The sequence below is a fragment of the Homo sapiens genome, chromosome 17 (genome assembly GCF_000001405.40).
Source record: "Homo sapiens chromosome 17, GRCh38.p14 Primary Assembly".
Classification (NCBI taxonomy): domain Eukaryota; kingdom Metazoa; phylum Chordata; class Mammalia; order Primates; family Hominidae; genus Homo; species Homo sapiens.
The window spans coordinates 3539498-3564542 of record NC_000017.11 but is presented as its reverse complement, the minus strand read 5'-3'; the positions used below and the strand labels follow the sequence as shown (position 1 = coordinate 3564542).

Here is a 25045-nt window from a genome sequence, read left to right as displayed (position 1 = left end):
CCGCCCGGCCGCCCATCGTCTGAGATGTGGGGAGCGCCTCTGCCCCGCCGCCCCATCTGGGATGTGAGGAGCGCCTCTGCCCGGCCACGACCCCGTCTGGGAGGTGAGGAGCGTCTCTGCCCAGCCGCCCCGTCTGAGAAGTGAGGAGCCCCTCCACCCGGCAGCTGCCCCTACTGGGAAGTGAGGAGCGTCTCCGCCCGGCAGCCACCCCGTCCAGGAAGGAGGTGGGGGTCACCCACCGCCAGGCCAGCCGCCCCGTCCGGGAGGTGAGGGGCGCCTCTGCCTGGCCGCCCCTACTGGGAAGTGAGGAGCCCCTCTGCCCGGCCACCACCCCGTCTGGGAGGTGTGCCCAACAGCTCATTGAGAACGGGCCATGATGACAATGGCGGTTTTGTGGAATAGAAAAGGGGGAAAGGTGGGGAAAAGATTGAGAAATCGGATGGTTGCCGTGTCTGCGTAGAAAGAAGTAGACATGGGAGACTTCATTTTGTTCTGTACTAAGAAAAATTCTTCTGCCTTGGGATCCTGTTGATCTGTGACCTTACCCCCAACCCTGTGCTCTCTGAAACATGTGCTGTGTCCACTCAGGGTTAAATGGATTAAGGGCGGTGCAAGATGTGCTTTGTTAAACAGATGCTTGAAGGCAGCATGCTCGTTAAGAGTCATCACCACTCCCTAATCTCAAGTACCCAGAGACACAAACACTGCGGAAGGCCGCAGGGTCCTCTGCCTAGGAAAACCAGAGACCTTTGTTCACTTGTTTATCTGCTGACCTTCCCTCCACTATCGTCCTATGACCCTGCCAAATCCCCCTCTGTGAGAAACACCCAAGAATGATCAATAAAAAAATAAATTAAAAAAAAAAAGATAAAAAATAAACACATTGTGAAAAAAAAAAAAGAAACAGATACTCTGAAAGAGAGATCTGTTCCAGACTGGGCAGGTTGTGTTAGTATCTGCGGAGTGTAGAATGAGTTGTTCAGTTGTGGAATTATTGGATGTTGGTTCATGAAAGGATGAACTTTGGCTGAGGCTGAGGCTTGGGCCCTACCAGGAGAGGTGTTTTGGGAGAAAATACTGGGATCCCTCCTCCCTGTTCTCTAGCATCATGTCTGCCTCCACATAGGAGGCGCCACGGAGGAGCCCCAGTTGCCTGCATGTGACTATGGCAAGTGAGCCTGGAGCCTGGAGGAGGGAGGCCGACAGCCGGGATGTGGGGAGTGTTTATGAAGGTGCTCCATGTGCATCTCCCTTTAAGTCTCCTAACAGCTCGTGAAGAAGCTATTATTAGTTCCCTTTTATAGATGAGAAAATCAAGGTTCCAACAGTGAGTAAGGTTGCACAGCCAGTAAACACGTTGCCTAGGTTTGACCCCAGGCAGTCTGACTCCAAAGCCTGGCTCTTAACTGCTGTGTCAGGCTGCCTGGCAGAGAATGTGCTGGGGCATGCCAGCCTATCCTGGGCCAGAGGGAGGTGGGAGGGCTTCTCGCTTCCTGCTGTGGGCCTGGGGCTCCATGCTTTACCTGTAGGCCTTTCTTAGAAAATGTGTGGGTGTCAGACAGCTGCAAACTTCTGCAAATTGGATCAGCTTTTTGTTTTGTTTTGTTTTTTGAGACAGAGTCTTGCTCTGTCACCCAGGCTGGAGTGCAGTGGCATGATCTCAGCTCACTGCAACCTCTGCCTTCTGGGTTCAAGGGATTCCCCTGCCTCAGCCTCTTTAGTAGCTGGATGACAGGTGCCTGCCACCACGCCTGGCTAATTTTTGTAGTTTTAGTAGAAATGGGGTTTCACCATGTTGGCGGGGCTGGTCTTGAACTCCTGACCTCAAGTGATCCAGCTGCCTTGGTTTCCCAAAGTACTGGGATTACAGGTGTGAGCCACCGTGCCCAGCCTGGATCAGCTTTCAAATTTACTCAGAGCTGGAAGGGATCCTGTGGTTGTACTTTTGCAAAACTAATGATAGAAATTTTTTGTTATTAGATTGGAAACCTGAGATTGTTTAAGGAAGGATATACCTGCAATTCATATGTCTTTCTTTTTTAAAAAATTAATAAGCTTTATTTTAATTTTATTTTTTTGAGACAGGGTCTTGCTCTCTTGCCCAGGTGGGAGCACAGTGGTGTGGTCATGGCTCAATGCAGCCTCAAACTCTTGAGCTCGAGCGATCCTCCTGCCTTAGCCTCCTGAGTAGCTGGGTCTACAAGCGTGAGCCACCACGCCTGGCAATTTTTTTTTCCCCGTGCAGAGATGTGGTCTTGCTATGTTGCTCAGGCTGGTCTTGAACTCCTGGCCTCAAGCAGTCCTCCCGCCTTGGCCCCACAAAGTACTGGCATTGCGGTGCCAGCCACAGGGCTTGGCCAGCTTTATTTTTCGAGCAACTTTAGGTTCACAGCAAAATTGACACAAAAAATATATAGGAAGTTCTCATACACCTGCTGTGCCCACAACCTCCCCAGCTACTGCCATCCTGCCCCAGAGTGGTACATTGTTACAATCAGTGAGTTGACATTGATACATCATTATCATCCAAAGTCCAGCTCATGCCTGTAATCCCAGTACTTTGGGAGGCTGAGGCGGGCGGATCACCTGAGGTCAGGAGTTTGAGACCAGCCTGGCTAACACGGTGAAACCCCGTCTCTACTAAAAATACAAAAATTAGCCAGGTGTGGTGACGCACGTCTGTCACCCCAGCTACTCGGGAGGCTGAGGCAGGAGAATCACTTGAACCCGGGAGGCAGAGGTTGTGGTGAGCCGAGGTCATGTCACTTTACTCCAGTCAGGGCGACAGAGTGACTCCGTCTCAAAAAAAAAAAAAAAAGAAACCAAAATACAAAAAACAAAGTCCACTGGGGTCACTCTTGGGGTTATAGATTCCATGGGTTTTGACAAATGTATGACCTGCGTTTATCATTATAGTATCACACAGAGGAATTTTATTGCCTAAAAATCCTCCATCCTCCACCTATTAATCCGTCCCTCTCTCCAGCTCCTGGCAACACCGACCTTTTTTTTTTTTTGCGACGGAGTCTCGCTCTGTCACCCAGGCTGGAGTGCAGTGGTGTGATCTTGGCTCACTGCAAGCTCCATCTCCCAGGTTCATGCCATTCTCCTGCCTCAGCCTCCCGAGTAGCTGGGACTACAGGCACCCGCCACCACGCCTGGCTAATTTTTTGTATTTTTAGTAGAGACGGGGTTTCACTGTGTTAGCCAGGATGGTCTCGATCTCCTGACCTCGCGGTCCGCCCGCCTCGGCCTCCCAACGTGCTGAGATTACAGGCGTGAGCCACCGCGCCCGGCCAACACTGACCCTTTTTTTTTTTTTTTTTTTCTGAGACGGAGTTTTGCTCTGTCGCCCAGGCTGAAGTGCAGTGGTGCAATCACGGCTCACTGCAGCCTCGACCTCCTGGGCTCAAAGATCCTCCCACCTCAGCCTCCTGAGTAGCTGCGACTATAGGTGAGAGCCACCACGCCTGGCTCATTTTTGTATTTTTTGTAGGGATGGGGTTTCGTCATGTTGCCCAGGCCAGGTCTTGAGCTCCTGGCCTCAAGCAATCCACCTGCCTTGGCCTCCTCAAATACTGGGATTACAGATGTGAGCCACCGTGCCTGGCCAGCCACTGATCTTTTACTGCCTTTTCCAGCATGTCATGTAGTTGGCATCATCAATACAATACATAGCCTTTTCAGATTGATTTATTGTACTTAGTATTATGCATTAGAGTTTCCTCCAGGTCTTTTCGTGGCATGAGAGCTCATTTCTTTTATTGGAGGATAACATTCCATTCTCTTGGATGTAGCACTCTTTTTTTTTTTTTTTTTTTTTTTTTTTTTTGAGACGGAGTCTTGCTCTGTCGCCCAGCCTGGAGTGCAGCGGTACAACCTCGGCTCACTGCAAGCTCCGCCTCCCAGGTTCACGCCATTCTCCTGCCTCAGCCTCCCGAGTAGCTGGGACTACAGGCACCCACCACCATGCCCAGCAAATTTTTTTGTATTTTTTGTAGAGATGGGGTTTCGTCATGTTGCCCAGGCCAGGTCTTGAACTGCTGGCCTCAAGCAATCCACCTGCCTTCGCCTCCCAAAGTGCTGGGATTACAGGCGTGAGCCACCACGCCTGGCCGGATGTACCACTCTTTATCCATTCACCTACTGAAGGACATTTTGGTTGCTTCCAAGTTTTGGCAATTATAAGTAAAGTTGCTATAAATATCTATGGGCAATTTTTGTGTGGGCATAAGTTTTCAGCTTCTTTGAATAAACACCAAAGAGTGTGATTGCTGGATTGAATGGTAAGAGTATGTTTAGTTTTGTAAGAAACCACCAAAGTGTCTTTCAAAGTGGCTGCACCGTTTTACATTCCCACCAGTGATGGCCGAGAGTTCCTGTTGCTCCATGTCCTCACCAGCATTTGCTGGTGCTGTCAACATTTTGGATTTGGGCCATTCTAAAGAGTATGAAGTGGTCATTTTATCTTTTATCTTTTTTTCTGTTTCTCTCTGTGTGTGTGTGTGTGTTTAATTTAAACTTAATAGCATTGACCAATGTGTTGTATGCATTTACACTATAGCATGTTATATTTTTGTTCTGATCATATTCCTTTTCACTTTTCCATTCTTTTTCTTTTTTCTTTCTTTCTTTTTTTTTTTTTTTTTTGGAAACGGAGTCTCGCTCTGTTGCCCAGGCTGTACAGTGGTGCAGTCTCGGCTCACTGCAACCTCTGCCTCCTAGGTTCAAGCAATTCTCCTGCCTCAGCCTCCCGAATAGCTGGGACTACAGTGTGCAGCACCTCACCCCGCTAATTTTGTATTTTTAGTAGAGACGGGGTTTCACCATGTTGTGGCCTCTTCCCTCCTTCCAAGTCCAGGCAGATGCTCCCTCTTTCCCGAACTCATCCCCTACACCCCATCACAGGGACTTCCTCCCGCCTTGGGGGTCTCAGCCCATTTTGTCCTGATGACCCACATGGTGGGTCATGGTTCCTGCCTGAGCCTGTGTCCCCTGTGGCCCACGAGGGTGGACACGGCCTTCTCCAGTTCTGAATCCCTCGTTGTCCACCTGCGCCCTTGCCACGGCCTCTCCCGTGGGCTCTCACCATGTGCTGGGTTAAATGGGGTTGAATATAGACCATCTAAGGGGCTGAAGCTGCTGCTTCTGTGTGTTTGGGGTGGGATTAGGATGGGCTCGGGCTTCCTAAGTAGTGACTGTGACTCCACTGGGTGACCTGGCTCCTGCTGCCTCTCATAGCAGAGCGGGGGTCCCCTTCTTCCTTGCTGGGCACAGGGCACACCTCTGGGTGGGAGACAGGGGCCTTTTTCACCAGCTCCCACCTGCCCTCTGAGAAAAGTTATGAACACGAGCAAAATGGAAGCACTGACATTTGGCAGCAGCTTCCTCCCCAGGCGTCTGAGCCGCCAGAGGCAAACAGGGAGGGCGCGGGGCTGGGTCGGGAGAGGGTGAGTAAGCTAGTGGCCGGAGGCCGTGCTCAACCCCAGATCGGGCTTTTCCGGTCGAGTTTCAGGCACAGTCATGAGATTTCAGATTGTGAGTGGGAACTTCAGGACCCCCTGACTTCAACGGCAGAAGCGGTCTCCTGCTTCACCCACACCCTCAAGTCTGGTCTGCCCCTTACCGGCCATAGGTCCTGCTCTCCCGTGGCCTAGAAGCCTCACCTGCCTCCTGCCTCCTCCCCAGGCCAGGCAGGTTGTGATGATGAGGGATTGAGAGGCTCACAGCTGGGGATTTCCCTGCCCATCAGGCGCCAGCTGCGGCCGCGTCAGCAGAGACTTCCTGCTCTGTCCCAGCTGTGTCTTGTCCACATCTCGCCCCGGGGAGCAGGTGTGCAGTTCCTGAGTGACGCGAGACACACACGGCCATCCTGACTCACTCCACCCACTTCACAGCTGCAGCCTGGGCCAGGAGAGAGGGCACCGATTCCTTCTATGACGCCCTGGCCTTGGAGAAGGGCAACCTGGGCAGTTGCTGGGAGAATACATTGAGATGACAAAAGCAATCATAGCTAAGAGCTGACATTGTTTATTGAGTTCTTGCCGTGCCCTGGGCCTTGTTCTGGCCCTTTCTACTTGTACTTGTTGAAGCCCCACGATAACCTTGCAAAGTGGGTTTATGAAGCACGTTTCACAGATGAGGAGACTGAGGCTCGGAGAAATGACCTGCTAAGGTCATTCAGCCAGGAAGGGGTGAGGCTGACACTAAGGGCCATGATGCGTGACTGCTGGTGGACAGCATTAAATGGGGACTTCCGTCCCCGAGAGACCTGATCCCAGGAACCGACTTTTGAGAACAAGTGCCGAGTCTTGGGGCTGGCCACCCTGAGGTCAACCAGGCTAGGCCTGGGCTGCGGTCTTCCCTCCCAGGGGACAGAGCAGAGCGCTTGACTCTTCACTAGGCCCTCCCACCTCTGTGATCTCTTTGGCTCTTCACGGCTCCCTTGGAAAGTAGATGTTATCATTCCCATTTCCTAGTTGGAAAAATAGGCCTGAGATGGGCAGTCCCTGCCCAGCATGGAATGCCAGAGAGGGAGGAGTTGGACCCACAACTTCGATCTTGGCACCTGCGGCCTCCCCTGCCTTTTCTCCGGTGGGGATGAGGCTGCTGTGTGGGTGTGGGGGTGACTCACACGGGCCACGTGGGTGGGCGGGTGCTGCAGCTGTGGCTGGTGGGCGTGGCCTGCCTGGCGCCGAGGGCAGGTGGCTCAGCCAGTTCTGCCTCTGACGCCTCATTCCAGCCATCCCTCTGCCTGCAATGAGAGCTTCCCGCCGCCTCAGCCACAGTCCCACCCGGGGGCCTTGGGCCCCAGACATGCGGTGATCTCAGGGCAAGGGTTGCCACGACCACCCAGAACCTCACCAGGTGAGTCTTCTGTGCACAAGGCAGCTGGTGATCTCCAAGGCCCCTGGGGAGCCCAGAGCGTGGCCCTCAGAGGTCCTCTGGGCCATGTCTGCCCTTGGCCAATAGGCCTTGGGAGGAGGGTTGGAAGGAGCTTGGGCCCCAGCCAGGGGCCCACTCTTGGCTGTAGGGAGGCACTCTTGGCTGCACTCTTGGCTGTAGGGATGTGTGAGAATATAGGTCCTTACAGACTCAGGAACATTCCCCTGAGGTTTGGGAATCCTGGGGAGGGACATCTCAATCTCACCACTGCTGGGGGCAGAGGAGAGGCTCCTGCCTCCCGAGGCTGACCCAGGGAGGTGGCTTTCTGGGGCAGGATTGTGATGGGAGTTCAGGATGGGAGGAGGTGGCCCCACCGTGGGAGACAGACGGGGCCCAGGCATCTCACAGGTGCTGAGTCAGCAGCTGTGGCTCCGCGGCCTGGTCTGTCGCCCGGGAAAGGCCATTTCAATCAGTGTCAGGGATTGGGAGAGAGAGGGAGGGCCAGGGCAACAAGAGAGTCCAGCAGGTGAGAACGTGGGGTTTACGGGGTGACTCAGGGAGCTAATGATAGCTGCTGCGGCCCTAGTCCAGAGTTCCCTGAGCCTCTCCTGCCCCAGAGGCCCAGGGCAGGCCACATTCTCGGGCCCAGAGAAGAGAGAGAGCAACCAGCTCTCAGGGCCACAGAGTCCTTGGGGACCATTCAGCCCACTTCTCAGAAAGGAAACCAGAGGCCCTGGGAGGGGCAAGAGACGTGCCCTTCTTCTGTCTCCTTCACGCTCGGTGCATCCCAGCCTTTTAGTCCACCAAAGGCCACGTGGGGATGGGGAAAGCCATAGAGGCTGCCCATCCTCATCAGGCCGTGACTGGACACGGGAGGGCCGGGTGCCCAGGAGTCCCTCTCTGTGGGCTACTCCACCTGCCTGGCCTCAAGGTTGCCTACGCTCCAGGGCCAAAGCTCTCCCTCGCCGATGCCTCCTCCATCCTGAGCCTGCTCCCTTTGAGTTGGAGGGCGGGGGACTCTCTCCAGCCTGATGACACCTGGCTCCGGAAACTTCCTCCAGGAAGCTTTCCTATTGGGGTAGGATCACCAGTGGCCCCAGCTCCACCCCACCCAGCTGGGTTCTTCTTACAGAAATCCGTCTTCCTGCCCCCACCTATGTGTCGCCAGGTGAGTCCCCTGAGGATGATTCAAGCTGAGAGTGGCACCCCCTGACCACACAGTCACCACCTGTCCACACAGCCCTTTCCCCGCCCATGTCATCCCTCTGTGGCCAGCTGGCCCCCTTCCCCGTCCCTATGGCCCCTGCAGCAGCCTCCTCCTGGCCCCTGGCTTCTGGTCTCCCCCACCCCCCAACGCAGCCCGCGCTCTCCTATGTAACCCAGAGCCTCTGCACCCAACTCCCAGCTGCCCCCAGGGGTCAGCCATAGCTCCTTTTTTATGTTTAATAAAAACTTTATTTTTTTTTTTTTTCATTTTTTTTGAGACGGAGTCTCGCTCTGTCGCCCAGGCTGGAGTGCAGTGGCACAATCTCGGCTCAATCCAACCTCTGCCTCCTGGATTCAAGTGATTCTCCTGCCTCAGCCTCCCGACTAGCTGGGACTACAGGCATGTACCACCATGCCCGGCTAATTTTTTGTATTTTAGTAGAGACGGGGTTTCACCATGTTGCCCAGGCTGGTCTTGAACTCCTGAGCTCAGGCAATCTGCCCACCTTGGCCTCCCAAAGTGCTGGGATTACAGGTGTGAGCCACTGTGCCTGCCTGAAGCCACAGCTCTTATGCGGTGTTCGAGGACTATACAGGGCCCAGCCTGCCCGCATGGCTTTCGCTGGCAGGGTCCCCATGAGCTCCCCAGGTTCTCTGGCCACAGCAGCTCCCCCCACTCCTGCCACTCCTGACCCTCCCAGGCTCTGTCCTCTGCCCGGCTTGTCCTTCCTCCACACAGCAGCCTGTACGGTCTATCCTGGTCTTGTTGGAAGATGTATCAGTCCCCCTTCCCCAATCCCCACACCCCTCGGAGCTCAGCACGGTGCCCAGCCCACATTGAGCATCAGTAAAGCAGGTCTGGACTGGGGGGTCGGCCTCCTCTGCCTGGGGCAAGGGGACTCAGCTGCTCCCTGCAGGTGAGAGGGGAATCTAATGGACAGGCAGCCATAAGCTGGTTACACACAGCTTTGGGTGGGCGGGGGAGATGATCGGTGTGTTGGCTGCAGAGACCACCTGGACACTGAGGAATCCAAAACACCTGAGGAGCTTAAGGCTGTGTTACTAGGAGCATAACATCTAGAGCAAAGGAGGTGATAATCTTGCTCTGTGGAGGTCAAAACTCTTGGAGAGCTGCTCATCACAAAATCGGAGAGGGACCTCAGGAAAGCAGAGCTAGTGCTTAGGAGTCCGCCTGGGACTGGTCAGCTGGAGAGGGTGTCATGAGAGAGGACAGGGGCATGGTGGTCTCTACCGGGACACCCTGCTGGACTCTCCACTAGTTCAGGGGTCCACCTGGGGACTGGTTGGCTGGGGAGGGTGTCATGAGAGAGGACAGGGGCATGGTGGTCTCTACTGGGACACCCTGCTGGGCTCTCCTAGGACCATAGCATTTGGGGGTGCTAGAGCAGGGAGCTGGGGAAGCTTTGGGGACAGCTTCTCTGTCCTTGAAGAAGGATTGGTGAACTGGGAAGGGAGGAGTGAGCTTCCAGTTCCAGGTAGTGTGAACGGGAGCTGGATGCAGCCACATGGGGCCCCTAAACTCCCTGAAGCTCCCCCTGTCCCCCCGGCCTGAGCATCTGCCCTGTGGTTGTATTCCAGCCATGAAAGCCCACCCCAAGGAGATGGTGCCTCTCATGGGCAAGAGAGTTGCTGCCCCCAGTGGGAACCCTGCCATCCTGCCAGAGAAGAGGCCGGCGGAGATCACCCCCACAAAGAAGAGGTGGGTTTGGAGAGCTCGGGACACGGACTGCGGCACTGTGAGGGGCACGAGTGGGGGCCTGGCACCCCCCCAGGGAGCCCTTGCCTTGGGGAGACCTGAGACTCTCAGTCTCGCCCGGGGTGGCCCGGTGCCCGGCGAGGTATGACTAGGGGATGGTGCGGTGGGGAGCACAGCACACTCAGGGGGCTGAGCTGGGGTAGTCAGTGTGACTGGCACAATTAGGGAAGCCTCCTTGGAGGGATCGGGGGTGCTGAGGCAGGAGCAGTCAGGAGGGCTCCTGAGGGAGGTGAGGGATGGCTGGAGCCACCCTTGAGACGAGGAGCAAAATGCTGGCTGGAAGTTCCAGGTGACCCGGAGCCTCTGTTGGGCACGTTTTCCACACACACACCCATGGCTTTCCATCCACTCTGCACCCAGCCGGGTTATTCAAGCTCTTGAACTCCACCTTTGGAATGGGGACACCGGCAATGGCACCAACTATAGGATGATGGTTAATTGGGATCAAGTCAACAAAGTGCTCAGTGCAGCGCCTGGCACGCGGTCAGCGCTCAGCATGTGTTGGCATTGAGAGTGTTTCTGTGACCTTCACCATCATCATTGTCCTCATCACTCCACGGAGCCCCTGGGAACTGGGCAGGGCTGGGATGATCAGCTTTACTTCTTCGCTGGGGACGTGGAGGAGACCTGGAGCAGAGAAAGGACCTCTCTAGGGTCACCCATCCCGCCCCTCCGCTGCCTCCATTATAGATTCTGCACCCCCAGCTCATTGGGTGCCTCTCACGCTGTCCCCCAGCCCACTTCACCTGTGCGTCCCTTGAACCCGGGGTGGCCCTGCCTCCTCTGCCTGTATCCCAGGCCCCCTTTGGGCCAGGGCTGAGCTTGGTGCTTCCCCTCTGTTAGTTGGAGCTATAATCATTGAGGTGTCCTGTGTACCAGCCCCAGGGTTGGGCTCAGGATAAGGAGTTTGGGACATGGAGAGAAAAATGCCCACGTCTGCTCACAGTCTGGTGAAAGGGGAGTCGAGGAGAGAGTGGGAAGTGACCACAGAGAGGTGAACTAGCCCCGTGGGGCCTGAAGAGTGGCAGGTTATTCTGATCCTGTAGGCAGTCTCAGGGGACTTCCTGGAGGAGGTGGTGCTAGAGAGGATGTGGAGAGGAAGGAAAAAGTGCATCTGGGCAGAGGGACATGAGAGCCATGGCTCAGAGTGGGGCCACTGAGGTGAGGAGTCTGGTGTAGCTGAAGTACCGGCCAGTAGAGGAGTCTTTGGGGAGGCGAGTCCCACTGGAGCTGAGTCCTGGGGGTCAGTCAAGGAACTTGGATAATCCTCAGGGCAGTGGGGAGCCATGGAGGGATTTTTTGTGGGAGGGAGGGCATGGTGAGATGTGCCTTCTGGAGAGGTGACTCTGGGGGATCTGCGTGGATGACGGATTAGAGGAGAGGCTGACAGCAGGGAGACCATGAGGAGGCCTTTGGGAAGCCCAGGTGATAGGTGGTGATGTCTGAGCCTGGGTGGTCACGGATAAAGAGGAGGGGGCAGCACAGACAGGTGCCAGTATCATGGGGTCTGCAGGACCAGCCACGGGAGGTAAAGGAGAAGGAGGAGTCCCGGTGGGAGGGCCTGGAGGGATGGCGGGGCCATCTGACATGGCGCATCAGAGGAGAAGATCCAGGTCAGGAGGAATGAGCCAAATTCAGTTGTGAAATGTTGGGTGGGAGGTGCCTGAGAGACACCCAGGTGGAGGCTCCATCTTGGAAGGCAAAAGGGAAAACTGGTGGAGAAGGAGCCAGACAGGTGTCGTGTGGGGTCATGGGGGCAGCCTGGGTCTGGGTGGGCTTGTCCAGGAAAGGGCAGAGACATCCCTGAGCTAAGCTGGCAAGGACCACCTCCCTGGCTCTCCTGCCCCTTCCCATCCGCTCTCACTTGTCCAGGGGAGGTTTGGACCTCCGGAAAAAAATGAGGATAGAGTTTTGGGAAAATCCCACGTCCTTTCCTCAGCAGGAACCGTCAGGCTGCCTTCTCTGAGCCCATCCCCCCCATTCACAGATTTAGCTCCAGGCTCAGCTCTGCAAAGCCTCCTCCGCCCAGCCAAGGGCTGAGCTTGGCATGTCTCCTAAATTGCTGTCCACTTCTCTGCCCCAAAGGCCCTCTGAGGACCCTCATGTGAAGGTTTGGGCACCCCCCTCAGAGCTGAGTCGGGGACTTGGGCCCAGAGAGAAACAGAAAAGAATAAATTAAAAGGCCGGGCGCGGTGGCTCACGCCTGTAATCCCAGCACTTTGGGAGGCCGAGGCGGGTGGATCATTTGAGGTCAGGAGTTTGAGACCAGCCTGGCCAACGTGGTGAAATCCTGTCTCTACTAAAAATACAAAAATTAGCCGGGTGTGGTGGCGTGTGCCTATAGTCCCAGTTACTTGGGAGGCTGAGGCAGGAGAATTGCTTGAACCCAGGAGGTGGAGGTTGCAGTGAGCCAAGATTGTGCCACTGCACTCCAGCCTGGGCGACAGAGCAAAACTCTTGTCTCAAAAAAGAAAAGAAAAGAAAAGAAAAGGCCAGGCGTGGTGGCTCACGCCTGTAATCCCAGCACTTTGGGAGGCTGAGGCGGGTGGATCACAAGGTCAGGAGTTTGAGAGTAGCCTGGCCAACATGGTGAAACCCCATTTCTACTAAAAAAAAATACAAAAATTAGCTGGATGCTGTGGTAGGCACCTGTAATCCCAGCTACTTGGGAGGCTGAGGCAGGAGAATTGCTTGAATTTGGGAGGCGGAAGTTGCAGTGAGCTGAGATTGTGCCACTGCACTCTAGCCTGGGTGACATAGCAAGATTCCATCTCCAAAAAAAAAAAAAAAAAAAAAAAAAAAAAGAATAAATTACAGGTGAAGAAAGAGGGCAATGCTGACCCCTAAGGAAACAGGCCTAATGGTGGAATCAAAGGCACCAGGGAGTCTGGAGATAGGAGACACTTTTGGACCTGGGAGTGCTCCTGAACCATCGTGCCATTCCCTGAGAGCAGCTGTCATCTTGGCTTCCTTCCTGGACCCTGGAAAAGGTGATGCCCAGAGACAGAGATACAGACTGATGGAGGCTGTGGAGACACTGGCCTTGCAGAGCCCAGAACACTTGGGCATTTCTTGGCACAAAGCAAATGGATGGACAATCTCCTTCCCAGCCCTGGGCTGTTCAGGGACAGTTCTTCGACTTTAAGGAACAGAAATGCAGTAGAAATGGTATAGAGCTATCTGCTCACCTGGGTCAACCACACCCAGCTGGTGCCCTTTGGTCTGGACAGAAGGAAGGAAGAAACAAACAGCACCTACAGCAGGCCTGGAGCCAGGGTGTCACTGGGCCAAGGCCTTGCCATGTGCTTATGACGCTGGGTGGGATGTAGTGTGTGCAGTGACCAGTAGGGCGGGCGCAGGACAGACCTTCACGGTCTAGCAGCTGCTCTGCCCCAGGAGTTAGGTCTTTGCCCAACAGTTGGGGTCCTCCCCAGCCCTGCGCTTATCACTGTCTTCTCACATCTGGTGCTCCAGATGCCAAGAGCTTCCTTCTCCAGACATAGACCTCCCCTTCTCCTGAGGCTTTCTCATGCTGTTCTGCCTTCGGGGCTTTTCCCAAACCAGACTGGTGTCAAGACCCAGACCAAATCCCACCCCAACAGAGCACAGAGCCCTCCCTGATCCCTGTCTTCAACTGGAAGGATCTTCTCTTCCTCTGAGCTCCCATAGCGCAGCCCCTCTCTGAAGAGGTTGACATGGTCATTGGGATGATGTCTTAGCTCTGGTCGAGATCACTGAGCATGGAGTCCCTGGAAGGTTCATCTCTTTCCTTCGGTCTCCCTGAGTTTCTTACACAGAGGATATTAGTAGCTTTTGAGTAAGCAGATGAGTCAATAAAAGAGCAGGCAGGAGGCCGGGTGCGGTGGCTCATGCCTGTAATCCCAGCACTTTGGGAGGCCGAGGAGGGTGGATCATGAGGTCAGGAGATCAAGACCATCCTGGCTAACACGGTGAAACCCTGTCTCTACTAAAAATACAAAAAATTAGCCAGGTGTGGTGGCGGGCGCCTGTAGTCCCAGCTACTGGGGAGGCTGAGGCAGGAGAATGGCATGAACCCGGGAGGCAGAGCTTGCAGTGAGCTGAGATCACGCCACTGCACTCCAGCCTAGGCGACAGAGCGAGACTCCATCTCAAAAAAAAAAAAAAAAAAAAAAGAGCAGGCAGGAAAATGAGAGAAGGAGTGGGTGAGCTGGTGAGCAAGCAGCCGGGTAGCCCAGCACAGCCCTTGGCAGCACGAGGACACTATGGAGTGATGAGGAAATGCTTCTTCCTTTCCCTCGGGCTCTCAGCCTCAGGTCTGAAGTGGATACACACTCTTGTGATATGGCTTTCTGGACCATCTTTGGGCCCCTGTGGACTCTGGGAGAAGGCCTTGAGTAGGTAGGGAGGTAGGGCAGAGACAAAGGGCTGCTCCTCATCTTCTTATGAGAGATTGGGAAGGGGATGAGGCTTAGGAGAGGTAAAGGCTTTAAGCACCTGAGAGCACAGTGGAAGTCACCTGAAGGATGCAACCTCCCAACATTTTGGTTTAAGGTTATGTTGGTTTATCTGCTTATTGGTCCTGTCCACCTATCCTACCCTCCCAATTACTTATTATCCATCCATCCATCCATCCATCATTTATTCACCCATCCGTCATCTATTCATCCATCCATCCATCATTTATTCATCCATCCATCCATCCATCATCTATCCACTCATCTACCTATCATCCATCCATCCATCCATACATCATCTGTCCATCCATCCATCAACCATCCACTCATCTACCCATCCCATCCTCCATCCATCCATCCATACATACATATATCTGTCATTTATTCACCCATCAATCATCTATTCATCCATCCATCAATCATTTATTCATCAATCCATCCATCATCCATTCACTCATCTACGCATCATCTATCCATCCATCCATCCACCTATCCATCCATCCATCCTCCATCCATCCATCCATCCATCCATCCATCATCCATCCACTCATCTACCCATTCCATCATCTGTCCATCCATCCATCCATCATCCACCCATCCCTCATTCTATCATCTCTCCATTATTCATTCATCCATTTATCTGGGCATCTATACAACCAACCATCCTTCCTTCCACTCATTCATCTTTCACTCATTATCTATCCTCCCACTCATTCACTGATGAAGTCTTCTGAGTGTTAGGACCAGTGTTGGGAATCAAGGATAATTCAACTGTAGTCTCTGCCATTGAGGAATGTATAGCTGTAGGATGGTGTATTGTCCAGAGTGTGGAAAGTCGTGGCCTCATTGTACTATTTCTTGGTCAGTTCTGACCAACTCACTGGAACAGCAGCTCTGGAAGGGATGGAAATTTTGTCCACTTGTTCACTACTGTATCCTCAGCTGCAGAAACAGTGCCTGGCACATTGTAGATGCTCAATAAATATTTGTTGAGTAAATGCAACACTGAGGAATGCAGACAGGTAGGGCGGGATGGGGAGCAGGGGACAGACTGGACCAACATTCTTGGGGAAAAAGCTGTGGGTATAGGGCTTGGAGCTCTGTCTGGAGATAATTTGGCAAATCTCAACCAGGATGTTTTGGGGCTGAACCACTAGCAAATGTGTTTGGAGCTTCTAGGTCAGGCTGTTGTTGCGGAGCGACTACTTTAGGGCAAAAGTTCTGGGGCACTGCAGGGCCGCAGGGAAGTGGCAATCAGACTGGTTGACCTCCGATGCCCACTTCAGCTGGAATTCCATAAGAGGACGATCCCAGAGCTACCCTGGCTCCAGGGTCCAGACCTTAGGGATCATCTGGCCCAACCATCATCCATTCAGGTGAAGATGACTGGCCCAGAGATGGCAAGTGATCATCTGGGGTCATACAGGAGGCAGAGACACAGCTGGACTAGAACCCAGGCTTTAGGTTCCCAGGCAAGGGTTTAAATCCTCCCTTTGTCTTCCCTTTTGGAAGAAGGGTTTGATTGGGAGCTCAGATCAGAAGGTTCCTTTTGGTGGGCAGGAGACTGTCAGGTGAGGCAGGTGAGACTGGCAGCCAGTACTGCCCTCCACCCCATGTATCCCCATTTCTGGATTAGCGCTGAGCCTTCTAGGTTTGTCTGTGCTGGAGGAAAGGGCAGAGATTCCTTGGGAAAGCCCGGGGTCTCTCTCCTGCTTGCCCCACCCCAGGAAGTGGCCATGCCAAGCAACCTCCCTTTGTGGCCAACCCCTGGAGCTAGTTTAGCTGGAAGAAGGCTCAGATTGCTAAGGCGAGAGCAAAGAAGCATGGATTGCAGTGTGGACTATGAGCCTGGATGTCGGGAAGCAGGTTCTTTGACCACCTTGACTTTTACCCTGGGGGGTGACCATGGATGAGCTGCTTCTCCATACTGAGCCTCAGTTCTCTTGTCTGCAGAATGGGGCCACAGTCCCTTTCCTGCTACCCTCCCTCCTGAATGTGACACAGCTGAGACTGCCCTTTGGGAGCTCTTCTGTAGTCTTGTGAGGAAGGAAGGGGCATGTTGGTCCCTTCTGGGCCTTAGAATGAAGGAGGCAGCAAAGGTGCTTTAGGAGCCCCGTGTGCCTGGAGAGGCCCTGCTGGTCAGGAGGCCACAGTCCCTGGCCAGGCCACAGAGGCTGCAGTTGTCCTGTAGCAGCTGCAGGGCAGGAGAGTTGCTGCCACCGAGGTCACCCTCAGCCTGATCCTCACAGTCCGGGTTGTCGTCAGCCAGAAGGCTCTTCTCTGTGCGTGTGATTGTGGTTTCCAAGAACATGGGTGCCTGTGTTTGTGGGTGTGTCTGAAGGTGGAGCTGGCGGTGTGTCTGGCTGGGAGTCACATCACGGGTGTATGTCTTGCTTCTTATAGGCCAGCGTCTCTCCTTCGCTGGGGCTCAGCCAGGCCACAGGGCCGGGGGCTTCTGTCTCTCTTCTCCCAGCCCAAGGAGAAAGCTGCCCTTGCCCTGCCCCTCCCCTCCGCTGCCCCCCTCCACCGCCTGAGATGGCTTCCTTCTCCACAGGGAATTCCCAGCCCTGTCCTCTGACCCCTCAAGTCCTCCCTGCTCTAGATCAGCCATTTTTTTTCTAGAGGAGTCTCCCTCTGTCACCCAGCCTGGAGTGCAATGGTGCGATCTTGGCTCACTGCAACCTCCACCTCCCAGGTCCAAGTGATTCTCCTGCCTCAGCCTCCCACGTAGATGGGATTACAGGTGCGTGCCACCACGCCTGGCTACTTTTTGTATTTTTAGTAGACATGGGGTTTCACCATGTTGGCGAGGCTGGTCTCAAACTCCCGACCTCAAGTGACCCTCCTGCCTCTAGCTCTCAAAGTGCTGGGATTACAGACTTGGGCCACTGCACCCAGCCTAGATCAGCCATTTTCAGCCCATTTTCTGCTGTGACAAACAGCACAAGTGCTGATCAGCGGGGGCAAGTATAACTCCAGCCATCTCCCTCTCCCTCAAGAGCCAGGAAGGCCCGCGTGGATCTCAGAGTCTAGGGACGGCCCCTCAGAAGGCGTCTGACTTCAGACCTGAGGCCTGAGGGTGGGTAGGTGGTGACGGGAAAACCTAGCTCCCAGTACCATCTTCCCCATCCTTGAGGTGTCCTTTGTACCTGGAGGTGGCTGCAGACAGGGCAACCTGGCTCAAGTGTTAGGCCACCCGCAGTAGAGACCCGGGTTCAGCCATCCAGTATTTCTAGCAAGGAGAGTCACCCAGACCCAGTTTTTTTTTTTTGAGAAGGAGTCCCGCTCTGTTACTCAGGCTGGAGTGCAGTAGCACGATCTTGACTCACCGCAACCTCTGCCTCCCGGTTTCAAGCAATTCTTCTGCCTCAGCCTCCTGAATAGCTGGGATTACAGGCGCATACCACCACACCCAGCTAATTTTGTATGTTTAGTAGACACAGGGTTTTGCCGCATTGGCCTCAAACTCCTGACCTCAACTGATCTGCCCACTTTGACCTCCCAGAGGGCTGGGATTACAGGCATGAGCCACCACACCTGGCCTAGCCCAGCTTTGAATCTGGACTTTGCTACCTATCTGCTGCGTGACCTTGGGCAAGTTGCTTTATCTACAGATAGAAGCCACATGTCTCCAAGGGGGGCCTTCCTCACCTTGACATTGTAAATTAGCAGCTAATTGACACTACAGGACAAGAGGAGACTAGAAATTGTCCTCCCTCACCCGACCCCACTGAGACAAATGCATATCTGACTGCTTCCCCTATGCGTCTATGTTTTTGTTGGTTTGTTTGTTTTTTGAGATAGAGTCTCGCTCTGTCGCCCAGACTGGAGTGCAGTGGCATGATCTCGGCTCACTGCAACCTCCACCTCCCGGGTTCAAGCACTTTTCCTGCCTCAGCCTCCCAAGTAGCTGGGACTACAGGCATGCACCACGACGCCTGTCTAATTTTTGTATTTTTTGTAGAGACGGGGTTTCTCCATATTGGTCAGGCTGGTCTCGAACTCCCGACCTCAGATGATCCGCCCGCCTAGGCCTTCCAAAGTGCTGGGATTACAGGTGTGAGCCACCATGCGTCTATGTTTGTCTTCCATAAAGTGCAGATTTACTGAGCGCAAGATGAATCCATAATTGACTGTTTCCACTACCCACCCCTTTTCACGTGCAACACGTGCTCAGTAAGCAGAATCGAAGCCTCACAAGAACGTGGCCCTGTGCTCCCTGTTTTCTTTCTTTTTTTTTTTTTTTTTTGAGACGGAGTCCTGCTCTGTCACGCAGCCTGGAGTGCAGTGGCGCGGTCTCGGCTCACTGCAGCCTCCACCTCCCAGGTTCAAGCAATTCTCCTGTCTCAGCCTCCCGAGTAGCTGGGGTTACAGGTGCCTGCCATCATGCCCAGCTACTTTTTTTTTTTTTTTTGCATTTTAAGTAGAAACAGAGTTTCGCCATGTTGGCCAGGCTGGTCTCAAACTCCTTACCTCAGGTGATCTGCCCGCCTCAGCCTCCCAGGGTGCTGGGATAATAGCCCCTGCACCCGGCCTGCTCCCTCTTTTTTTTTTCTTTCCTCCTTTCTCTCCTGCCCACTTTTCACCTTTAAATATTGAGGCCCTCAGAATCTTGTTCAGAGGAGGAAGTGTGGGCCACAGATCCTACTGGGGCTTGTGTGTCTTCTTCCCGGGTGTGTCCTCAACCTTGGCAAAATAAACCTCTACATCAATTGGGTTCGCCTCAGTCCTTTTCTTTAGTTTCACACTTGACTCGCAGCTCCCTGGAGACCATCTGTGAAACGTAGGTGATAATGACAGTGTCCATCTCCGAGGGCTCCCGGGAGGGCTGGGCAAGGCCATTTGGGCTCAGAGCTGGCCAGGGTGTGTGCTCAGCATGGGGGCACCCTCTGGGGCCAGGAGGCAGGACACAGGCAGACAGGCTCTGCCTGGCTCGGCCCTAACAGGCTTCCTCCGTGTTCCCTCAGTGCACACTTCTTCCTGGAGATAGAAGGGTTTGAACCCAACCCCACAGTTGCCAAGACCTCTCCTCCTGTCTTCTCCAAGCCCATGGATTCCAACATCCGGCAGTGGTGAGTACGGGCCCCAGCCCAACCCCTTGCCCTGGGCCCAGCCCTCAGCTCCAGCATGTGGCCAGTGACTTGCCCTGGGTCACGGGGCCAGGCCTGGCTGTGGCATGCTACCACTGTCTATTATAAAACTTTATTATTATTATTTATCTTTTTGAGATGGAATGTCGCTCTGTTGCCCAGGCTGGAGTGCAGTGGCCCAATCTCAGCTCACTGCAGCCTCCACCTCCCAGGTTTAAGCGATTCTCCTGCCTCAGCCTCCCAAGTAGCTGGGATTACAGGCACATGCCACCACGCCTGGCTAGTTGTTGTATTTTTAGTAGAGACAATTTAGTAGAGACAGTTTAGTTTCACCATGTTGGCCAGGCTGGTCTCGAACTCCTGACCTCAAGTGATCCACCTGCCTCGGCCTCCCAAAGTGCTGGGATTACATGCATGAGCCACCTCACCCGGCCCATTTTAAAACTTTAAAACCCTCTCTGTTCCCCCTGCCAACACCTCCAGCATCTCTGGTAACTGTGATGACATGGACTCCCCCCAGTCTCCTCAGGATGATGTGACAGAGACCCCATCCAATCCCAACAGCCCCAGGTAAGTCTGCCCCTCCCCCTCCACCCACTGTGCCCACCCAGGCTGGGGGTGCCAGAGAGACAGGATCCGGGGCCCTGCAGGAAGGAGAAAGAATCCACCATTCCTGGGGATTGGGACAAGTGGAGTCATGGGTCCATGGCATGTAGGACGTTTACGGGGAAGGAGTGGAGTATTGAATTCTATAAAACCCATTTGTTATGAAACATTCAAACAGCAGGATGCAGTGGAAAAAGAACTGTAGCACGACACCATTTATGTGAACTAAAAATACATAGCCAGGTGCAGGGCTCATACCTGTCATCCCAGCACTTTGGGAGGCTGCGGCAGGAGGATCACGAGGTCAGGAGTTCAAGACAAGCCTGACCAACATGGTGAAACCCCGTCTCTACTAAAAATACAAAACTTAGCCGGGCGTGGTGGCGCATGCCTGTAATCCCAGCTACTGAGGAGGCTGAGGCAGGAGAATTGCTTGCACCCTGGAGGTGGAGGTTGTAGTGAGCTGAGATTGTGTCACTGTACTCCAGCCTGGGTGACAGAGCAAGACTCTGTCTCAAATAAAAAAAAGAAAAAAGAAACAAAAGGAGACATCAACGCGTTACCATGGTTGCTTATCTGGAGTGGGAGGACAGGGAAGGATAGATTTTAAAAGTTCAAACAACATAAAATATGAAATCTTATATTTTCAAGGTAATGTCTTTAATAGGCATAGATCCTTCCTGATCATTACTTCATGCATCCAAATGTAGGTATTTTGACAAAATGTGATTGCATATGGATTACAAGGGGAGCCTGATGGGTCCACACAGAGCCCAGGAGTTTGCAGGCATTGTGACAGGCATGGGAGATGTTGGCGGCAGCTGCAGCGCCCCGTAGGCAGCTCTGGCGGGGAAAAGGAGAGATTGAGCTTGAGAGGATGTGTGTGTTGAGTTGGAAACATTTTCTGGCTTCAGTGCACAGCTGGCCAAGGAAGAGCAGAGGAGGAAAAAGAGGCGGCTGAAGAAGCGCATCTTTGCAGCCGTGTCTGAGGGCTGCGTGGAGGAGTTGGTAGAGTTGCTGGTGGAGCTGCAGGAGCTTTGCAGGCGGCGCCATGATGAGGATGTGCCTGGTGAGTGTCTGAGCCTGGCAGAGGGTGCAGGGCTGGGGGCCCTGCTTGGCTTCTGGTGCCCATTTTCCCCTCCCCTCACCAACCCATGAGGCTGGAGTGTGAGGGGCCTTGAATTCTGGCTAGGGACTTTGAACTTGACTCCGAGGAGAATGGGGAACCACAGAAGGGTTTGGGCAGGTGAGAGTCGGGTCTGACTACTGTGTGGAAGATGGGGGTGAAGCTGGAGAAGGCCACTGTTCAGGCAGGGCTGGGACCCTGAAGCAGGGCTTGAGAAGGGAACGGTTCTGAGCAGCTCCTCGGCCAGTAGCATTGGCAGGATTTGAGGACCTGGGGAGTGAGGGACGGGGGGTCCAGCATGGTGCCATTTAGACTTGGGTAGCTTGGTGGCTGGTGGAGCCCTGGGTGTCTCGGGGACCAGTGCAGTATCAGGTTGATGGGGAGGCCATGAGCTTTATTTGCAGGCCACGAGGAGGGGGCAGGCTGGAGACAGATTCCAGGGTGGCAGCAGGGGGGTGGACAGCGGGAAGCCATACAGTGGGCAAAGAGCAAAAGGCCTCAGATACGTCACCCATGGGCCACAGAGAGCAAGGAGCCAGCATAGGAGACGGAGGAGAAACAGCTGGAGAGGGAGGAGAGCGGCCAAGTGTAAGGTCTGGGAGTGGAGATGTGGAGCAGGGGCTTGGGGTCTGCGGCTGCAGCAACCACACCCTCTGGGCTGGGAGGGCCAAGGGCAGCCGGGGCCCTCCTGTAACTCCACCCATGGCCCTGCCTGCAGACTTCCTCATGCACAAGCTGACGGCCTCCGACACGGGGAAGACCTGCCTGATGAAGGCCTTGTTAAACATCAACCCCAACACCAAGGAGATAGTGCGGATCCTGCTTGCCTTTGCTGAAGAGAACGACATCCTGGGCAGGTTCATCAACGCCGAGTACACAGAGGAGGCCTATGAAGGTATCCTGCCTGCAGAGGGGCTGTGCAGACAGGAGTCTCTGAGGGTGGGGTATGGGGCCACAGGGCCACTGCTGGCCAGGCCACGTGGAGGCACTGCTGCCATTGAGGAGCCCCAAGCATGTAGCATGGTACCAGGGATGCTTCAGGCAACCCTCTCTTTCTTCCTTCATTCTGCAAATAATTTTGAGCACTGGTTCCATGCCAGGCATTGTTTTTGGCATGGGCATGCACTGGTGAACAAGACAGGTTAAAGCCACTGCTCTAAGGCCGGGCGTGGTGGCTCACGCCTGGAATCCCAGCACTTTGGGAGGCTGAGGCGGGTGGATCACCTGAGGTCCGGAGTTCAAGACCAGCCTGACCAACATGGTGAAACCCCGTCTCTACTAAAAATACAAAAATCAGCCGGGCATGGTGGCAGGTGCCTGTAATCCCAGCTACTTGGGAGGCTGAGGCAGGAGAATCACCTGAACCCAGGAGGCGGAGGTTGCAGTGAGCCGAGATCGCCATTGCACTCCAGCCTAGTGACAGAGCGGGACTCCATCTCAAAATAAATAAATAAGTAAAGACAGAAAGAAAAAGAAACAAAGAAAAGAAAGAAAGTCACTGCTCTAAATAAGATAATTTTAGATTTAAAATATTACGAAAATAAATGAAGATAGTGTGACAGAAAGTGACTGGGGGAGGGCAACTTTAGAGTGGACAGTCAGAGTGGTCATCTTTGGCCTGAGGCCGACATGATGAGAAGGATCAGGGCGAAAGCCCCAAGATGGGATTGAGCTTGGCATGGTTGAGCAATGAAAAGAAGGCTGGAAGTGAGGCAAGAGAGCCGGGCAGGGGCCACCAAAAGTCGACTGTTGTCATCATCATCATCATCATTAACTGTCCCCATTTGGGTCTCAGTTTTGTGGATTTCTTTGTAAGTGGGCCAGAGAGGATGCTGGGAGAGCAAATTTGGGAGAGTGGCTCCCTCCCAGGAAATCCACAGGGGAAAATCAGTAAGATGTGTCTTTATTTGAGTTTTGGAGTCAGTCAACAGCGCTTTACGGTCTTATGAGGTGCTCGTGGCAAAAGCGATTGACTCAATTATAATTGGATGCCGTCTTGCTGATATGCTGGGGGCACTAGATGTTTGAGCTTTTTTGTTTTTGTTTTTTGACATGGAGTCTCGCTCTGTTGCCTAGGCTGGAGTGCAGTGGCGCGATCTTGGCTCACTGCAACCTCTGCCTCCCAGGTTCAAGCGATTCTCCTGCCTCAGCCTCCCAAGTAACTGGGATTACAGGCACCTGCCACCATGCCTGGCTAATTTTTTTGGATTTTTAGTAGAGACGGGGTTTCACCATTTTGGCCAGGCTGGTCTCAAACTCCCAACCTCAGGTGATCCACCTGCCTTCACCTCCCAAAGTGCTGGGATTCCAGGCGTGAGCCACCACGCCCTGCCACAATTTAGGTTTTTCCAGGTGGGAGTTTAGCTTTGGCCTTTAACCCTTCTCATGGGAGAAAGTAATTGTGATTTATTATTTGAACTCTGCAGACTTTCAAAAGCATTTTTGTTATATATAAGAAGAAGTCAAGGATTGTGACAAACTAGAAGATATGGAGTGGAGGAGAGGAAACCTAGGGAAGACTGTTGCAACTGAGTGCTAAACTGCTCACTGAGCTCCCTGGTAGCCAATGCAAAGAGAGAAACTGGATGAACCATATCACATTCTCAGCCTGTCTCTAAGGAGTTGACAGTAGTCCTGCAGACAGGGAGGTTCAGGCCAGTGCCTCAAGCTTGCTTGTCCTAATTTTCCCTTTTCAGTCCCCTTTGTATCCTCCTTTCTTCTTGTCAGTATTGTAGGACTTACGAACTACCCTTTGCTAGCAACATGTTTCCCTTGAGGGCAGGGATGAAGTCTGTTGCTTACAGTTCATTTCCCAGTACCCTTAGGGTCTCACCTAAGAGACGCTTAGTACATATTTTTTGGATGAGTGAATGAAAGAAGGTTGTTAGTGTTTCTGTGAAGACTTTGCTGTCCCGGTCACAGATCCTTACCTCTCCCTGTTCTTAGCCTCCCCTTTCCCTCTCCTTTCATGAATCTGCCTCTTGCTGGGGCGAGGAGGTCTGGGAGGCTGTGGGCACCTCCTCTTTCTCTGAATGGTGGGAGGAGCTATTTATTCTTGTCTTCCTGGAAACCAACCCCACCACCGTTCTGACCCATCCGCTGGTGCCTTCCTTCCTCTTAGCATTTCCTCCACCCGGAGCAGAGGGGCTCCAGGACCAGCAGAGTAGCATTCTTCCACACTCTGGGCAGGACCCAAGGTGACCACTCTGATTGTCCACTCTAAAGTTTCCCTTCCCCAGTCACTTTCTGTCACCCTATCTTCATTTATTTTCATAGCATTTTTTTGTATCTAAAATAACCTTATTTAGAGCAATGACTTTGTTTATTTATTTATTTATTTATTTATTTATTTATTTTTTGAGATGGAGTTCCGCTGTGTCACCAGGCTGGAGTGCAGTGGCACAACCTCTGCCTCCCGGGTTCAGGTGATTCTCCTGCCTCAGCATCCCAAGTAGCTGGGACTACAGGCAACTGCCTCACCTCTCTGAGCCTCAGTTTCCCCACTGGGCAAGGGCGAATATTTCCTCCCTATGCTGCTAAGAGGAACCAATCACAACTTTATTCATATCATTTTAAAGCATTTTATCAGAGGCCTTCAGAGTTTTACTTTTTTAAGCAATTCTTCAATTAAGACATTTTTATTATAAAAATTTTAAACATGAAGTTAAGATATTAGAATAATAAACCTCTACACATCCATCATCAGATTCAATATAACAGTTTCTTTTTATTATTTTACTTTATTTTATTTTATTATTGTTTTTGAGACAGGTTCTCACTCTGTTGGGCAGGCTGGAGTGCAGTGGCGCGACCACGACTCGCTGCAGCCTTGACCTCCCTGGGCTCAGGTAATTTTCCCACCTCAGCCTCCCGAGTAGCTGGGACTATAGATGCGTGCCACCCCGCCCAGCTAATTTTT

The 25045-nt window shown here is 53.3% G+C and overlaps 1 protein-coding gene across 2 annotated transcripts in view, besides 13 other annotated features; it reads left to right on the top strand.

The window, feature by feature from the left end:
• Nucleotides 105-903: an enhancer, noted in NCBI's record as "NANOG-H3K27ac-H3K4me1 hESC enhancer chr17:3466934-3467732 (GRCh37/hg19 assembly coordinates)". NCBI's record gives its function as "activates a minimal SCP1, AML or CMV promoter by ChIP-STARR-seq in primed H9 embryonic stem cells {active_cell/tissue: H9 hESC(primed)}" and the evidence as "EXISTENCE:reporter gene assay evidence [ECO:0000049][PMID:30033119]".
• Nucleotides 1199-1248: an enhancer, noted in NCBI's record as "active region_11510". NCBI's record gives its function as "activates an Ori minimal core promoter by ATAC-STARR-seq in GM12878 lymphoblastoid cells {active_cell/tissue: GM12878}" and the evidence as "EXISTENCE:reporter gene assay evidence [ECO:0000049][PMID:35858748]".
• Nucleotides 1469-1668: an enhancer, noted in NCBI's record as "active region_11509". NCBI's record gives its function as "activates an Ori minimal core promoter by ATAC-STARR-seq in GM12878 lymphoblastoid cells {active_cell/tissue: GM12878}" and the evidence as "EXISTENCE:reporter gene assay evidence [ECO:0000049][PMID:35858748]".
• Nucleotides 4900-5714: an enhancer, noted in NCBI's record as "H3K4me1 hESC enhancer chr17:3462123-3462937 (GRCh37/hg19 assembly coordinates)". NCBI's record gives its function as "activates a minimal SCP1, AML or CMV promoter by ChIP-STARR-seq in primed H9 embryonic stem cells {active_cell/tissue: H9 hESC(primed)}" and the evidence as "EXISTENCE:reporter gene assay evidence [ECO:0000049][PMID:30033119]".
• Nucleotides 4900-6531: a biological region, named in NCBI's record as "H3K4me1 hESC enhancers GRCh37_chr17:3461306-3462122 and GRCh37_chr17:3462123-3462937".
• Nucleotides 5223-5282: an enhancer, noted in NCBI's record as "active region_11508". NCBI's record gives its function as "activates an Ori minimal core promoter by ATAC-STARR-seq in GM12878 lymphoblastoid cells {active_cell/tissue: GM12878}" and the evidence as "EXISTENCE:reporter gene assay evidence [ECO:0000049][PMID:35858748]".
• Nucleotides 5353-5412: an enhancer, noted in NCBI's record as "active region_11507". NCBI's record gives its function as "activates an Ori minimal core promoter by ATAC-STARR-seq in GM12878 lymphoblastoid cells {active_cell/tissue: GM12878}" and the evidence as "EXISTENCE:reporter gene assay evidence [ECO:0000049][PMID:35858748]".
• Nucleotides 5623-5852: an enhancer, noted in NCBI's record as "active region_11506". NCBI's record gives its function as "activates an Ori minimal core promoter by ATAC-STARR-seq in GM12878 lymphoblastoid cells {active_cell/tissue: GM12878}" and the evidence as "EXISTENCE:reporter gene assay evidence [ECO:0000049][PMID:35858748]".
• Nucleotides 5715-6531: an enhancer, noted in NCBI's record as "H3K4me1 hESC enhancer chr17:3461306-3462122 (GRCh37/hg19 assembly coordinates)". NCBI's record gives its function as "activates a minimal SCP1, AML or CMV promoter by ChIP-STARR-seq in primed H9 embryonic stem cells {active_cell/tissue: H9 hESC(primed)}" and the evidence as "EXISTENCE:reporter gene assay evidence [ECO:0000049][PMID:30033119]".
• Nucleotides 5883-5932: an enhancer, noted in NCBI's record as "active region_11505". NCBI's record gives its function as "activates an Ori minimal core promoter by ATAC-STARR-seq in GM12878 lymphoblastoid cells {active_cell/tissue: GM12878}" and the evidence as "EXISTENCE:reporter gene assay evidence [ECO:0000049][PMID:35858748]".
• Nucleotides 6013-6072: an enhancer, noted in NCBI's record as "active region_11504". NCBI's record gives its function as "activates an Ori minimal core promoter by ATAC-STARR-seq in GM12878 lymphoblastoid cells {active_cell/tissue: GM12878}" and the evidence as "EXISTENCE:reporter gene assay evidence [ECO:0000049][PMID:35858748]".
• TRPV3 (transient receptor potential cation channel subfamily V member 3) overlaps nt 6731-25045 on the top strand; it is a 47311-nt gene continuing 28996 nt past the window's right edge. For both annotated transcript variants that reach the window (NM_145068.4, NM_001258205.2), the window contains exons 1-6: nt 6731-6867; nt 9691-9811; nt 19272-19376; nt 19878-19964; nt 20915-21069; nt 21845-22021. In NM_145068.4, coding sequence (NP_659505.1) covers nt 9693-9811; nt 19272-19376; nt 19878-19964; nt 20915-21069; nt 21845-22021 — 643 coding nt within the window. In that variant the 5' untranslated portion in view covers nt 6731-6867; nt 9691-9692. The remainder of the gene's footprint in view (nt 6868-9690; nt 9812-19271; nt 19377-19877; nt 19965-20914; nt 21070-21844; nt 22022-25045) is intronic.
• Nucleotides 7713-7772: a silencer, noted in NCBI's record as "silent region_8013". NCBI's record gives its function as "represses an Ori minimal core promoter by ATAC-STARR-seq in GM12878 lymphoblastoid cells {active_cell/tissue: GM12878}" and the evidence as "EXISTENCE:reporter gene assay evidence [ECO:0000049][PMID:35858748]".
• Nucleotides 9957-10458: an enhancer, noted in NCBI's record as "H3K4me1 hESC enhancer chr17:3457379-3457880 (GRCh37/hg19 assembly coordinates)". NCBI's record gives its function as "activates a minimal SCP1, AML or CMV promoter by ChIP-STARR-seq in primed H9 embryonic stem cells {active_cell/tissue: H9 hESC(primed)}" and the evidence as "EXISTENCE:reporter gene assay evidence [ECO:0000049][PMID:30033119]".